At 37.6% G+C, this 14,769-nt stretch overlaps 1 annotated feature.

The window, feature by feature from the left end:
• Nucleotides 6,382–7,123: an enhancer, noted in NCBI's record as "OCT4-NANOG-H3K27ac hESC enhancer chr5:89838485-89839226 (GRCh37/hg19 assembly coordinates)". NCBI's record gives its function as "activates a minimal SCP1, AML or CMV promoter by ChIP-STARR-seq in primed H9 embryonic stem cells {active_cell/tissue: H9 hESC(primed)}" and the evidence as "EXISTENCE:reporter gene assay evidence [ECO:0000049][PMID:30033119]".

A 14,769-nucleotide genomic window follows, 5' to 3' on the forward strand; every position in this document is an offset into this window, starting at 1 on the left:
AAATCTCAGTCCTGGAGGCAGGATGCAGTGGCTCACACCTGTAATCTCAGCACTTTGGGAGGCTGAGGTGGGTGGATCACCTGAGGTCAAGAGTTCGAGACCAGCCTAGCTAACCTGGCAAAACCCCGTCTTTTCTAAAAATACAAAAATTAGCTGGGCGTGGTGACATATGCCTGTAGTCCCAGCTACTTGGGTGGCTGAGGCAGAAGAATCGCTTGAACCCCGGAGGCGGAATTTGCAGTGAGCCGAGATCGTGTCACTCCACTTCAGCCTGGGCGACAGAGTGAGAGTCTGTCTCAAAATAAATAAATAAATCAATCTCAGTCCTTGAATATATGGCTTTTATTATTCTTTCTGATGAAACGGGAAATGCACATGAAGTTCTTCTGCTGCATGTCAAAGTAATATGGTTGTCTAAGAAAAAAAATCTGGTGGCCTTGTTTGAGTTGGGAACTGAGCAAACCGTTTTTATCAAAGGACACTATTTTTAATAGAAAGAATGACTGACAGAAAAACTATGGTTGGCTGGGCACAGTGGCTCATGCCTGTAATTTCAGCACTTTAGGAGGCTGAGGTGAGAGGATCAATTGAGCCCAGGAATTTGAAACCAGCCTGAGCAACACAGGGAGACTCCGATCTCTACAAAAATAAAAAATTAAAAAAATTAGCTGGTCATGGTGGCGCATGCCTGTGGTCCCAGCTACTCAGTAGGCTGAGGCAGGAGAATTGCTTGAAGCTGGGAAGTTGTTGCTGCAGTGGGCTGTGATCATGCCACTGGATCCCGGCCTGGGTGCCAGACCCTGTCTCAAAAACAATGACAAACCAAATATGATCAATAAGACTTGGATATTTGATGGACAGTTTATTGAAAATGAGCAAAGTAAGCCAGTTACTTCCAGAAAAAAAAAAAAAGACAGTAGTTGCTACCATTGATAAAACTCAAGTTCTCAAGCAGAAATTAGAATTTTAGAAAACGTTTATTGCCTCTATGAGGGTTGGCAGCTTCCCAAAACTGAAAGGATTTTGTGATGAGATTAGCGGTGATATCAATAATGTAATTTTTCAAATATCGTATATATTGAAATTTGTCAAGACTTGGAACATCTCCATAACTCAGGGAACAATATTTTCCAAATAAGTAAAGTAAGATGCTAAAAAATCATGCACAGATAAAAGATCCATTTAAAGTGTAAGGCCAAGGATTTTAATGTGACTGATTTGAAGAAAAAAAAACTTATTGCTATAGTTTTATTAACCAAAAATTGACAGAGGCAAATCTAATTGGATAGAGGTTTATTTTGCCAAAATTGAGGATGTGCCTAGGAAAAAGAAACACAAGTTACAGTAAGATCTGTTACTTGTGCTTTTTCCAAAGAAGGTTTTGGAAACATCAATATTTAAAGTGAAAATAACAAGCAGAAGGGAAAGCAAAAAAAGGAGGATGGATAGGCAATGAGGGAAGTGGTTACATTGTTGTAACCACTCTGAATAGCACTCAGTGAATCCATGTTTTACATGCAAAAAGAAGGAGGTAGGCGAAAAGTCAATTTGTATTCCTCTTGTGTTCCATAAGTTTACATTTTACACAAGATAAAGTAAGCATGTGAAATGGCAGCTCTCTGTTTGGACAAAAAAGGAAGGCAAGTTTTGTGTCACTCAGTTCTCAAGCTTAACTTTGCCTTGGGCATAGTGAGTTTGGGGTCCTGAAATTCATTTTTTCCTTCAGAGCTTCAAATGCTACATTGCAACTTACCTTTAAGAAGCTATCACTGAGTCTTGGTATAATATCAAAGAAGAATATTCACAATTGTCTGAAAAACTATTAAAGTACTTTTCCCTATTCCAACTATGTATCTGCATGAGGCCAGATTTTTTTCATCTACTTCAGCCAAAACCACATATAACAACAGACTGAATTCGGAGCAAATACAAGAATTTACTGGTCATTACAGCTAATAAATGACTTCAGTAAACTTGAAAGATGCAAGATACACACACACAACATCACTAGTATTTCTGTACACTAACAATGAACAATCTGAAAAAGAAACTAAGATTGTAATAGCATCAAAAAATACTTAAGAATATACTCTTATCAAGAGATGTAAGATTTGTACACTGAAAACTACAAAATAATGCTGTGGGAAAATAAAGAATATCTAAAGAAATGGAAAGACATGATGTGTTGATGGATTGGAAGAATTAATATCATTAAGATGACAATACTTCCTACAAATATCTACAAATTCAATGTAATTCCTATCAAAATCCTACTGGCCATTTTTTTAGAATTGAAAAACTGATCCTAAAACTCATATAAAATGGCAAAGATCCTGAATAGTCAAAATACTCTTGAAAAAGAAGTACAAATTTGGAGGATACACACTTTTGAATTTCAAAACCTATTACAAAACTACAATAATCAACAGTGTGGTTCTGGCATAAGGATGTTCCATGGTGGCAGGTCTATGCAAGACTACCCTTAAAAGTCTGAGGAAGCTGAAAGGCCAAAGAAAGAAAATAAGGTATCCAGTTTTTCAGAAATAAACATGATTAAGGATTTATGAAGACAATCATGTCTGTGTCTCGGTGGTGGTGAGACAAGATGGTGGATATCAGCACCTTCACTCCTCAGGGATAATATACCATAGGGAAGGAATGTATAGGACAACTATAGAGAAAGGCAAGAATGCCATAGTAATCTCCTGAAGCACAGGATTTATGGTCAAGGTTGTTTTGACCTAAGGACAGGATTTGTAGTAAGTACATGCTCTTACACAGGAGCAGTAGATAAGATGAAAATATTAGAGGCATTCCTGGAACTGGGGTCAATCAGAAGTCAACAGGGCAGATTAGCATCCAAGATTAAGTTGCTTTAGCCTTTACAGATATACATATAGATTAATATTGTAGAATTGAAAGTTCAGAAATAAAAACATGCATCTATGGTCAATTGATATTTGACAAAGATGCCAAGACCATTCTATAGAGAAAGAATAATCTCTTCAACAAATGATGATAGGACGCCTGGATATCCACACACAAAAGAACCATGTTGGACCCCTACCTCATAACATATACAAAAATTAACTCAACCTGGAAAAAGACCTAAAAATTAGAGCTAAACCTATAAAACTTTTAGAGGAAGACATAGACATAAACAGTCATAATCTTGGATTTGGCAATAGCTTTTTAAGTATGACACAAAAGAATAAAAAACAAAAAGAAAAATAGATGAATTGGACTCCATCAATACTAAAAACTTTTGGGCATCAAAAACACTACCAAGAGAATGAAAAGACACCCTATGAAATGGGAGGAAATATTTGTAAATATGTATGTTGTCTCGTATTCAGAAATATAAAGAACTCTTGCAACTCAACAACAAAAAGACAAATGACTCAATTAAAAAAATGGGCCAGGCTAGGTGCGGTGGCTTACACCTGTAATCCCAGCATTTGGGAGGCCAAGGAGGGCCGATCATGAGGTCAGGAGATCAAGATCATCCTGGCTAACACGGTGGAACCCCGTCTCTACTGAAAATACAAAAAATTAGCCAGGCCTGGTGGCACATGCCTGTAGTCCCAGCTACTCAGGAGGCTGAGGCAGAAGAATTGCTTGAACCCAGGAGGTGGAGGTTGCAGTGAGCCAAGACCGCACTACTGCAATCCAGCCCGGGCGACAGAGCAAGACTTGGTCTCAAAAAAAAAAAAAAAAAAGAAAGAAAGAAAAAAGAAAAATGGGCCTAGAATTGAACAGGTATTTTTACAAAGAAGATATACAAATGACCAAAAAGCATTTGAAAAGATGCTTATCGTTTAGTCATTAGGAAAATGCAAATCAAAACCACAATGAGAAGCCACTTTGTATTCACTAGGCTGGCCACAATTTTTTTAAATGGAAAATGAATATTTGTAAGGATGTCGAGATTGGAACTCTCATACATTATCGGTGGGAATATAAAATGGTGCAGTTGCTGTGGAAAACAGTTTGGCAATTCTTCAAAAGTGAAAAATAAAATTACCACGTAACTCAGCAATTCTACTCTTAGGTATATGCTCAAGAGAATTGAAAACAGGTGTTCAAACAAAAACTTGTACATAAAGTTAATTACAGCACTGTTCGTAATAGCCAAAAGGTAGAAACAAATCAAATGTCCATCAACAGATGAATGGGTAACAAAATGTGGTAAACACATACAATTTGAGTATTATTCAGCCGTAAAAGGGAATGAAGTACTGCTATATGGTACAATATGGATGAACCTTGAAAATATTATGCTAAGTGAAAGAAGTGAGACATAAAAGGTCACACACATTGCATGATTCCATTTATACTGTAAAATCTAGAATAGGCAGATCCATAGAGACAGAAAGCAGATTAGTTGTTGCCAGGGAATAAGGAGGGAGGAATAGGAAGTGACTGCTTAATGGTTACAGGTTTTCCCACTGAGAAGCTACAAATGTTCTGGACCTAGATAGTGATCCTAGTTGCACAATATTGTGAATGTACTAAATGCCACCAAATTGTACACGTTAAAATGATAAATTTTATGTTATGTGTATTTTACCACAAATTTTTAAAAAAGAATCCAGCTATCTTCTAAGTCAGACATTAAAGAGATTTTTAAATGATAAATAATGCCACTGATCTCACTAAATATTTTTGTTTTCAAAAATATATTTTTCATAAAATATGTTATTTCAATTAACATGAAATCAGTTTATTTTTAATTGAATTAATGAATAGATACATAGAAGTTGTGACTAAAAAGTTTGAGACCCACTAAGTTGTTGTGTAAGGTGTAGCCTCAAAGGTATCTAAGCCAAGTTACTGCATGGGTTTTAAGGTTCAAAAGATTTTCTAATATAAGTCAATTGTGAATCAAAATGTTACAGATTAAAGCACAACTAGAAAAGATATTCTTCTGATCATATTAGCTACCAAAGTGTAAACTAGAAGGTTAGAAACTATATTTGTTGGAGGCATGGTCTGAAGAAAAGAGTGGGGAAGCTGAGGAAGGGCAAAGTTGGAGATGGAAAGCAGCAGAGTGGGTTCCATCTCTACAGCTGGAATGAAGGTGGCCAGGATGATATGGTTTGGCTTTGTGTCCCCACCCAAATCTCATCTTGAATTGTCATCTCCAGGTAATGAGGAAGGGACCTGGTGTGAGGTGATTGGATCATGGGGGCAGTTTTCCCCATCTTTTCTCATGATAGTGAGTGAGTTCTCACAAGAGCTGATGGTTTTATAAGGGGCTCTTCCCCCTTTGCTCTGTCTTCTTCTCTCATCTGCTGCCATGTAAAATGTGCCTGCTTCCCCTTCCACCATGATTGTAAGTTTTCTGAGGCCTCTCCAGCCATGTGAACTGTGAGTCAAGTAAGCTTTTTTTCTTTATAAATTACTCAGTCTCCAATATATCTTTATAGCAGTGTGAAAGTATACTAATAGACAGGGACAGAATAGTTACAGGGACCCGTCAGGATGAAGGAAAAAAAGTTATAGGAGCGCAGGCTGTGTCAGCCACTGAAGTCATGGAATTGGGGTGGATGCTGGGAATGGCGAGTGGTGGGTAAAGAGGGTGTTGGCCTAGAAAATTCATGATTCATTGCGTTAATTCAATTTGACATTCATGTAATAGGTTTAAATGTATTTTTTCTCTGTTTTCTAGCTGTCTGTGCTAATAACACAGAGCTTACACTTACTGATTATTGTGTCAGGTATTGTTCTAAGATTTATGATGTGGATGGCACTATTCTTTTTATTTTTAATACAATTTTTGAGGAAGTATTTGAGAATAAGCTGCAGATATCATGACACTTCACCCTTAAATACTACAGCATATGTCTCCTAAGAACAAGGACATTCTTCTACATAATCACAACACAATTGTAACTGAAAAAACATAAAATTGATACAGTATTATTCTCTAATATTCAGTTCATATTTAAATATCCAAGATTACCCTGATTGTGTCCTTTATCTGGTTTTCCTTTTTTCTTTTTGAGACAGAGTCTCACTGTGTCACCCAGGCTGGAGTGCAGTGGCACCATCTCCGCTCACTGCAAGCTCTGCATCCAGGGTTCACGCCATTCTCCTGCCTCAGCCTCCTGAGTAGCTGGGACCACAGGCGCCCGCCAGCACGCCTGGCTAATTTTTTGTATTTTTAGTAGAGACGGGGTTTCACCATGTTAGCCAGGATGGTCTCAATCTCCTGACCTCGTGATCTGCCTGTCTCGGCCTCCCAAAGTGCTAGGATTACAGGTGTGAGCCACCGCGCCTGGCCCTTTATCTGGTTTTCTTTTTGTGTTTATTTGTTTTGTAAACCAGAGGTATCTGATACAAATCTCAATCAATTTAGAAGTTTATTTTGCCAAGGTTAAGGACATGCCCATGACACAGCCTCAGGAGGTCCTGAGAACACGTGCCCAGAATTATTGGGTTACAGTTTGATTTTATACATTTTAGAGGGACAGAAGTTACAAGCAGACATCAATCAATACATGTAAGGTGTACACATTGTTTTGGTCTGGAAAGGTGGGACAACTTGAAGTGGGGCAGGGGCTTCCAGGTCATAGGTGGATTCAAAGATTTTCTGATTGGCAAGTCGTTGAGTTATTGTCTAAAGACCTAGAATCAATAAAAAGAAATATCTGGGATACAATAAGGGGATATGGAGATCAAGGTTTTTGTTATTCAGATGAAGCCTCCAGGTAGCAGGCTTAAGAGAGAATAGACGGTAAATGTTTTTTACCAGACCTTCAAAGATGCCAGACTCAGTAAATCTCTCTTACATCAGGAAAGTACTGGAAAGGGAATGGGATTCTCTACAGAATGTAAATTTACCCCACAAGAGACAGCTTTTCAAGGCCATTTAAAAGTATGTCAAAGAAATATATTTGGGAGTAAAATACTTCTGATTTCTTTCAGGGCCTGGGATCTGTCATTTTGCAATGTATCTTATTGCCGCAAAGAGTCAGTTTGGTCAGTCTGAAGATCTCTGTTTTAATGTTAATGCTGGTCAGAAGTGTCTGAATTCCCAAGGGAGGAGGGTATAATGAGGCATGTCCAACCCTCCCTTCCCATAATGACCTGAACTAGTTTTTTAGGTTTACTTTGGAATGCCCTTCACCAAGGGAAGGGGTGGTCCATTCCATCGGTTGAGGGGGCTTAGATTTTTATTTTTGGCTTATAGTTAATTTTAAAATGCAGTCCATGATTTAATCAAGGATTATGCATTGCATTTAGTTGTCAAGCTCCTTTAGTTTCTTTTAATCCAGAAGTGTTTTCCAGCTTCTCTTTCCCCATCTCAATTTTTTGGTCTGACATGATGATGGTATTTTTAAAAAATATAGGCTGTAGTTGTTTCGTAGACTACACTTCAATTTAGATTTGATTCATTGTTTCCTCATGATTAGATTGAGATTAAATGGTTTTTGGCAAGAACCCTACATTGGTGATGTTGGATACTTCTCTGTGCATCATATCAGAAGGCACATAATGTCAGTTTTCCTCATGATTGGACACCGAGCACTGTTCTATGTACTTTATGCATTTAATTTTTAAAACAAATTTATACTGTAGCTATTGCTTTTATTTATTATAGATTTCAGTACTTTATACAAAAGGACACTGAGAAATTAAGTATCTTGTCTGAGGTCCCAGAACAGTGTCCTGAACTCAGACAGTTGTTCCAGATTCTGCAAGATTAGCTAATAATTACATTGTGAAGAAAGAGACAACTGACTCTGTGATTCTTAGCTCATCACCTACCTCCAGGGTATATAAGTGGAGGCCAGAATATTGATCTTTAAGCCTTTAGTAAGAATCCTCTTAGAGTTGTCATTGTGCTGTGCAATCTACCTCTGCCACCCCTAGGTAAAAATGGCAGACAATCAGAGGATCACTTGGAGAATTTGATGTGGAGTTTGAGGGACAGAGTGACTGTTACTTGACTCATCTTGAGAAAGTCCAACAGTGAGTTTGACCCTGCCCTGGAGGCAGAATAATTGTAGGAGATAGGTGTGGTGTTCTGAGGGCCAGCTGTGGATAGGACAAATGTGTCTAAATTTCTTAAGGCACCTCATTCACAAGACCCATCAGAAGGGATGAATGAACCCCTGTGGAAAGCATCTGTGATGGACTGCCAGAAGTTAGAGACTGGGGGGTTAATTGTAAATGGGTTGCCCAGGAAGACCTAGCCCATGTTGGGGTCCCCACAGATGACAGCGCCAAAGAACTCATTAAGAAATAACATTTTTTTACATCCCTTATGCCTTTCCCTGCTTTCCAATCCTGGAAGAGCCATAAAAGAACATAGCAAAAGGGGATAAGTAGTACAGTTGGGAGGAATTGAAAAAAAGGATAAGCATGCCCTCTTTTTCCACTGTAGGCTTTATAACCTAGGTCAGGCAACGATCTAACTCTCAAAGCTTAATGAGAGGTTAAGCTTTGCTTTGTGCTATCTGAGAAATAAGGCTACTTGTTAATTGAAAATGAATGTGACAAATGGGATCTACTCAAGGTTTCATCTTGGAACAGAAAGGAACGAATAACAATGCAAGGTGAGAAAGTGGTCAGAAGGAACAGAATTTAGTTAATACGATAAATTGGCTACTGAAATATTGAACCGCTTTCTAGTATTTCTACACTGGGTTAGTTTTATACTGAACTCTGGGAAAGAACTGTTTTCTTGGTAACTGCCAGACTGTCTCTGACCTTTGACTCTAATTTAGGAAGAGTTATTAAAGTTCTTCTCTTGAGAAATTGTCCAGAGTTTTGTGCTGTGTTGCTTTTATGTGAACTGCAAATAGAACACTTCCAATTGTTGAGTGTAGTAGATTATCACTGGGAATGTGAATTTTTTTCAGTAATGCCACTGAAATTCTGCCCCTATAGTGGGAGCCAACTGCAGTTGTCCTGAGCATAGCTAAACATTTGTTTGGATATTGATTCTCCTCTAGCTGCTAAGCTCTGGAGTATGGATGACGACTGTCTGCTCTCCATCTCCCATCCCTAGTGCTATATTTTTAAACTCACTTGTACAGGCAGCACTCAGTGGCCAAGTTCTTTTTCTCTTTCAACTCAGTCCCATTCTGCTCCTCTTCTTCACCCTTTCTTCTTCTTTCCTTTCAACACTGTTCCTAAAATAAGCCAACTTCTAATCTTTGAACTTTACCTTCATTTCTAGCACTAAATTTTCTCTCTAAACACCTAGAGGTGTTTCTGATCAGAGCTGGGATGATCATCCACAGATAGGCTTTGCTCTTGCCCTCTAGTTCCATTAGTGTAAAGCTTCAATCAACCCCACTCCCACAGCTCCTAGTCCTCCCTCTAAGATCTTCCAATCCCCTCAATAAGCCAAAAATGCCTACTTCTGGGCCCCTCAAGGTACCAAAGGGAGAAAGGCTGTCACTTTGCTTACGTCAGCATTTTGTAGAAGGGTATAAAAGCAGAGCTGATCCACTTCTTCAAATGGGGAAGAGCATCCTCCTTTTACCATCATCACAAATAGATAAACGTTTCTCTTAAAGTGCCCCATGACAGCTGAGAATAGACTCAGACTGAGTAATGAGATATTTTTGTATATGCAACTTTAAAAAAATTCTTAAAGGTAGAAAAAAGAAACATTAATTGATTCATGTGTTTATGGAATTCCATATGAGGTGGCTAAAAAAGCTAAATAACTTAAATAAATAAAATAAAATTAAGTCAATGTATTTTGTTCCATTGAGTGATGATGACAAAGAACAAAATAGGCTGCCGTTTTAAAATAGGAAGAAAATTATATATTAGGTTGAACCATATGAAATTGCTCTTATTCAACAATTCTGGTAATATTGAACATTTTAACATAAGAAAATATCAATTGCATGTGGTTCAGCCTAATACTGATGTTTTAAAGACATTTCTGATAGTATTTCTCTGCTGTAAATACTTTTCTACTTAAATGATAATATATGTTAGTCAATTTTTCTTTTGTATTATTTTTAATTACTTCATAATGCCAGTAGAGTGCGTTGGCTGTGTGGTGATATCAATTAAAATTTAAGAATAAAAAAAAAGGCATATACACATCTGGTTATGATTTGCCTTTCTTGCTCTCCAGTTGCATAATTCAACTTGATGCGCATAATTCTCTTTCCTTTTATTCAATTCCATGTGGTGGCAGAACTACTACCAAAAGATGAATACTTTCAGTACCTTTCATATGAAAGCTGCCGCTTTCACATTCTGTCCTATTGATACTGCATTTTGGCAGTGGATAAAGGGACACAGTTAAAGTCTCTGCTCATAATTGGTTTTATCTGGGAAAGATTTTCTTTGAACTAGTGGCCACCCATGCTTTTATAATTATCAGAAATTAACTAGCTCAGCATTTCTTGTAAGAAATATTCACAATTCACTTCCTTGCTTTTGGAAGAAAAGAAAAGAAAGACAGAAAAGGAAAGAACTAAGGAGTATTAGAGAACTCCGTTTTGTTTGGGAATATTCCATGTGAGATTGCTCTAATGCAATGCTAAAACTGTGTGTTTCTTCATGGTACTCTTTGAAACACAATCTCAACCTTTTTTCAGAACCCTACAAAAAAAAAAAAAAGAAAACTTGAAAAGAATTTTTGTTTTCTGAAAAGTGAGACAATTTCAGTGTAAGTTTTCTGATATGACCTGACATTTACAAGTCACAAAGTATTAAATCTTTGTAGAATATGTATATGCATTTCAATATGATTTGAAAGGTAGAGCACTCCTAACTTCAAGTCTAAAACTGTTGGCAGAGATGTTTGTGTCAAGTGGACCAGGCATCCACACATAAGATGTAAACTTTGCAAGACCTTGCACAATCTCCAGACACACCATAAGTCAACCCTCTTTTCTCACTGGGCTTGGTTTTCCCACCCATGAGGGAATAGACAGTGGGAGCTTTGTTTGTAGTGTCTTTGTTTGCTTGCAGCCACTGGTAAAACAAACATTACTTCAGACTGAAGAAGTCCTTGGTTGAGCTTGGGGGCTCTGGGAGAACTTTTCCTATATCCCAACACAGATGACTTCATCAGGTTATCTGGTGTAGACTCGCCCCACTTAGGATAATTGGATTGCAGCATCCTGTGCATATCCATGTAGGACTGGATGTTTAGTGAGAGACTCCCCACCCATGGGAAGGGATCTGAAAGAGGAATATTGAAGAGAAACTTGCCCTCTTTCACTTTAGCCTGACTCTATCTGTCAATGAAGCTTCAAAGGCACTTCAGGGTCTTGTCAGGCAGCATTATAGTCTTAAAAATTTCTCATAATTTCATCTTTGGACAGTACTGATGAGCTCTGCACTGGACATAAGCCACTGAGGGCTGAAAATGTACACAGTGAATCCTTGAATTGAGAAAACAGTCTCATTTTGTGACCCAATCTACTAGAAACTTACGTGATTATAAAAACGTATTTGAAGAATTCTCAGTATTTTGCAATAGAAAGGGTCAGTTTTATAATTTTAAATTTGTTGAATGGTGAAGGCATTAATGCATGGAAGTGATTATTAATAAATAGAAAGGTTTGGTAGATAACATGCTTCTTGTTACTTCTGTTTCAAGATACGTTATATATAGAAGTGGAATTTAATATGTTTTATATCATAGATTTAAAGATTTTGTACCAAAAGATTTATACCGTCCCCTCATCTCCATCCCCCCCTCACATACCTCCCAGGAAATTAACTGTTTGAACTCATCGTTGGATAAGTTTACCACAGCCCACAGAATATTTCTGGAAAATTTAAATTCTTTTTTACTGTAGTCTCTGGAATGTAAATGCAAGCTTATTATAAGATAATTATGCAAGGAGTGGAAACCTTATATTCTATCCTCATAAATAAAGTGTAGACAGAAATAATAATCTTGGCTCAACTGGAACTCGAAGTTAGGAATGAAGGATTTGTTTGCCTTGTCTCCTCCCAAACCTCAAGTAATAAATCTCAAAAGCTTCAATATTGATTCAACAAAATGAATGGCTGAGTCATTTCAGAAGGACTCTGACAAGTGGACAAACGCTGCCATGGCGACATTTTGATATGCAGCGTGCTTACTGAGCCTGGCTGGCTTCCTCCCCCTGCCATTAAAGCAAAATGACAAACCATGGGAAGTGCCACACACAGCGTGCCTAAACCAGAGGCAACTGGGGGTGAAAAACAGATTTAATTAGCTGTTCTCAAAAAGTTAAAAACTGGATATACATTTATGTTTGATTTATGGAGGAATTCCTTTTAAAATGTGAGAAAAACTGCTCTGAGATGTGCTTCTTGCTAAGAAATAGAAACTATTATTGATTTTAAAGTCTCAGACAGCATTCTCTGTAAATGTTTTGTAAACATACTTTGTAGGATAAAATATTTTTAGCTTGGAAATACAGATTTAAAATATTTCCCATAGGACATAAATTCTACTCAATTCGTCTTTTACTGAATAATGTAATAAAGTATTACATGTGGCCAGTAAAAAAAAAATACAATATGTGTAATCACATACTATTACTGCTGCATATATTTAGATTTGTAAGGAAATAAATGTCGGAAAGTAATATGTATACTTGGATATTACTTGATCTTAATATTCATTTGATGGAGCTACTTAGGAATTACATATGTGTTCTTTTCTTTATTAGTATAAAGTATATCAAGATATATTAAAAGCAGGAGCAATTCACATCAATGAAAAGATGTTATTTTAAAACTTTTAGTGGGAAATTGCTATTATATATGCGATTATGTATTTGTTAACTTTATTTATGTATAATTAACACTGTAGTTTTTTCAATATTGAATTGGTTAACTGAGAAGAAAAACTGTCTCAATTGCAGCTAAAATACAACTAGAGTAGGCAATAACTGTTTTGTTTTATTTTGCTGTTTTTCTGTTTGTCAGTTATTAAAATCTCACTATGTAGCAGACTTCACTATCTCATTCAATCCACACACAAGCCTGAGCAATGAGTCCTAGGAGACTCTCTATTTTGCAGATAAGGAAACTAAAATGTGAAAGGTTAATAAATTAATCTAAGTTCACTCCACCTATCTACACTATATGATCTCTTGACATCATCTGGACCTAACCATATTAAATGTTTTTATTTTTGCTATTCTATGGCTTTAGAAATAGAAACCATACTAGTGACTGATATCACAAAGTCTCAGACATCATGTTCTATAAATAGACTTCTTGAAAAAAACATTTTTAACTTAGGAAGGTAAAGATTTAAAATATTTGCAGTAGAACATGAAGATAATACTTAATTTATCATTTGTATTTTACTTATTAATTTTAGAACATTTCATGAGAGTATAAAAATTTAGATAGCATTAGGAGATATACCTAATGTTAAATGAAGAGTTAATGGGTGCAGTGCACCAACATGGCACATGTATACATATGTAACAAACCTGCACATTGTGCACATGTACCCTAAAACTTAAAGTATAAAAATAAAAAAAAATTTAGAAAAGAGAAAGATAAACAAGTACAAAAAAAGTGAAGTATTAATTTCACATGAAGAAGCAAAGAGAAAAGCCTTTTTTGTTGGGTTTGTTTGTTATCACGCTTGTGGTTTCAGCTTCTAAAATGGCACCTCAACTTCTGTTGTCTGTGAGGATCTGGGTTGACTGCTGGCTTATCAAACATCTCAGTCTTAAAGAGGAACTACTTTTTGTATACTTCATCTATATAGGGAAGAAATCATTTACAGAGAAGATTTTGTCACATCACATTAAAGATTTCAAAATAGTCATAATAAATTATGATAAATTTGTCACCACTAGATAACCCACACATAGTCTAGATAAGATCCAAAGGCCTTGGCAAGACAGGAAAATGTGGAGACCAGACTCCTAGACGCACTTCAGATTCTTCCCTCTGGGTCACTCCATGAAGCTTTTTGAGAAGCAGCTTTCAGTGGGCCTACCTTGTCCAAATAGAACCAACCAAGGCTTGAGATGCTGCTCACACCTTAACTCCTTTCTGGGAAAGTGTGGTGTCATGTCTCCCTGGAGCTATTTTTGAGCTCTTGAAATCTTTCTGCTCTTCTGCTTTATACCTTCCAGAAGGACTTACTCCTCTCAATTTTCCAAAATCTTCCCCAGCTTTTCTTTTCTTTCTTTCTTTTTTTTTTAGTGGTGGTCAGGGAGTGGGGAGGAGATGGGATCTCGCTCTGTTGCCCAGGCTGGAGGGCAGTGGTGCTGTCATGACTCACTTCAACCTTTGCCTCCTGAGCTCAAGTGATCCTCCTATCTCAGCCACCCAAGCAGTTGGCACTATAGGCCAGCGCCACCACACTCTGCTAATTTTTTTTTTTTTTGAGATGGAGTCTCGCTCTGTCGCCCAGGCTGGAGTGCAGTGGCACCATCTCGGCTCACTGTAAGCTCCGCCTCCCGGGTTCACACCATTCTCCTGCCTGAGCCTGCCGAGTAGCTGGGACTACAGGCACTCGCCACCACGCCCAGCTAATTTTTTGTGTTTTTAGTAGAGACGGGGTTTCACTGTGTTAGCCAGGATGGTCTCGATCTCCTGACTTCGTGATCCGCCTGCCTCAGCCTCCCAAAGTGCTGGGATTACAGGTGTGAGCCGCCGCGCTGGGCTGCTAATTTAATTTTTTTTTTAGAGATAAAGTCTCACTGTATTGCCCAGGCTGGTCTCAAACTACGGGGCTCAAGTGATCCACCTGCCTCAGCTTTGCAGAGTGTTGGGATTACAGGCATTGGAGCCACCATGCCTGGACTTTCACCAGCT

Source organism: Homo sapiens, chromosome 5 (assembly GCF_000001405.40).
Source record: "Homo sapiens chromosome 5, GRCh38.p14 Primary Assembly".
NCBI classification, from domain to species: Eukaryota; Metazoa; Chordata; class Mammalia; order Primates; family Hominidae; genus Homo; species Homo sapiens.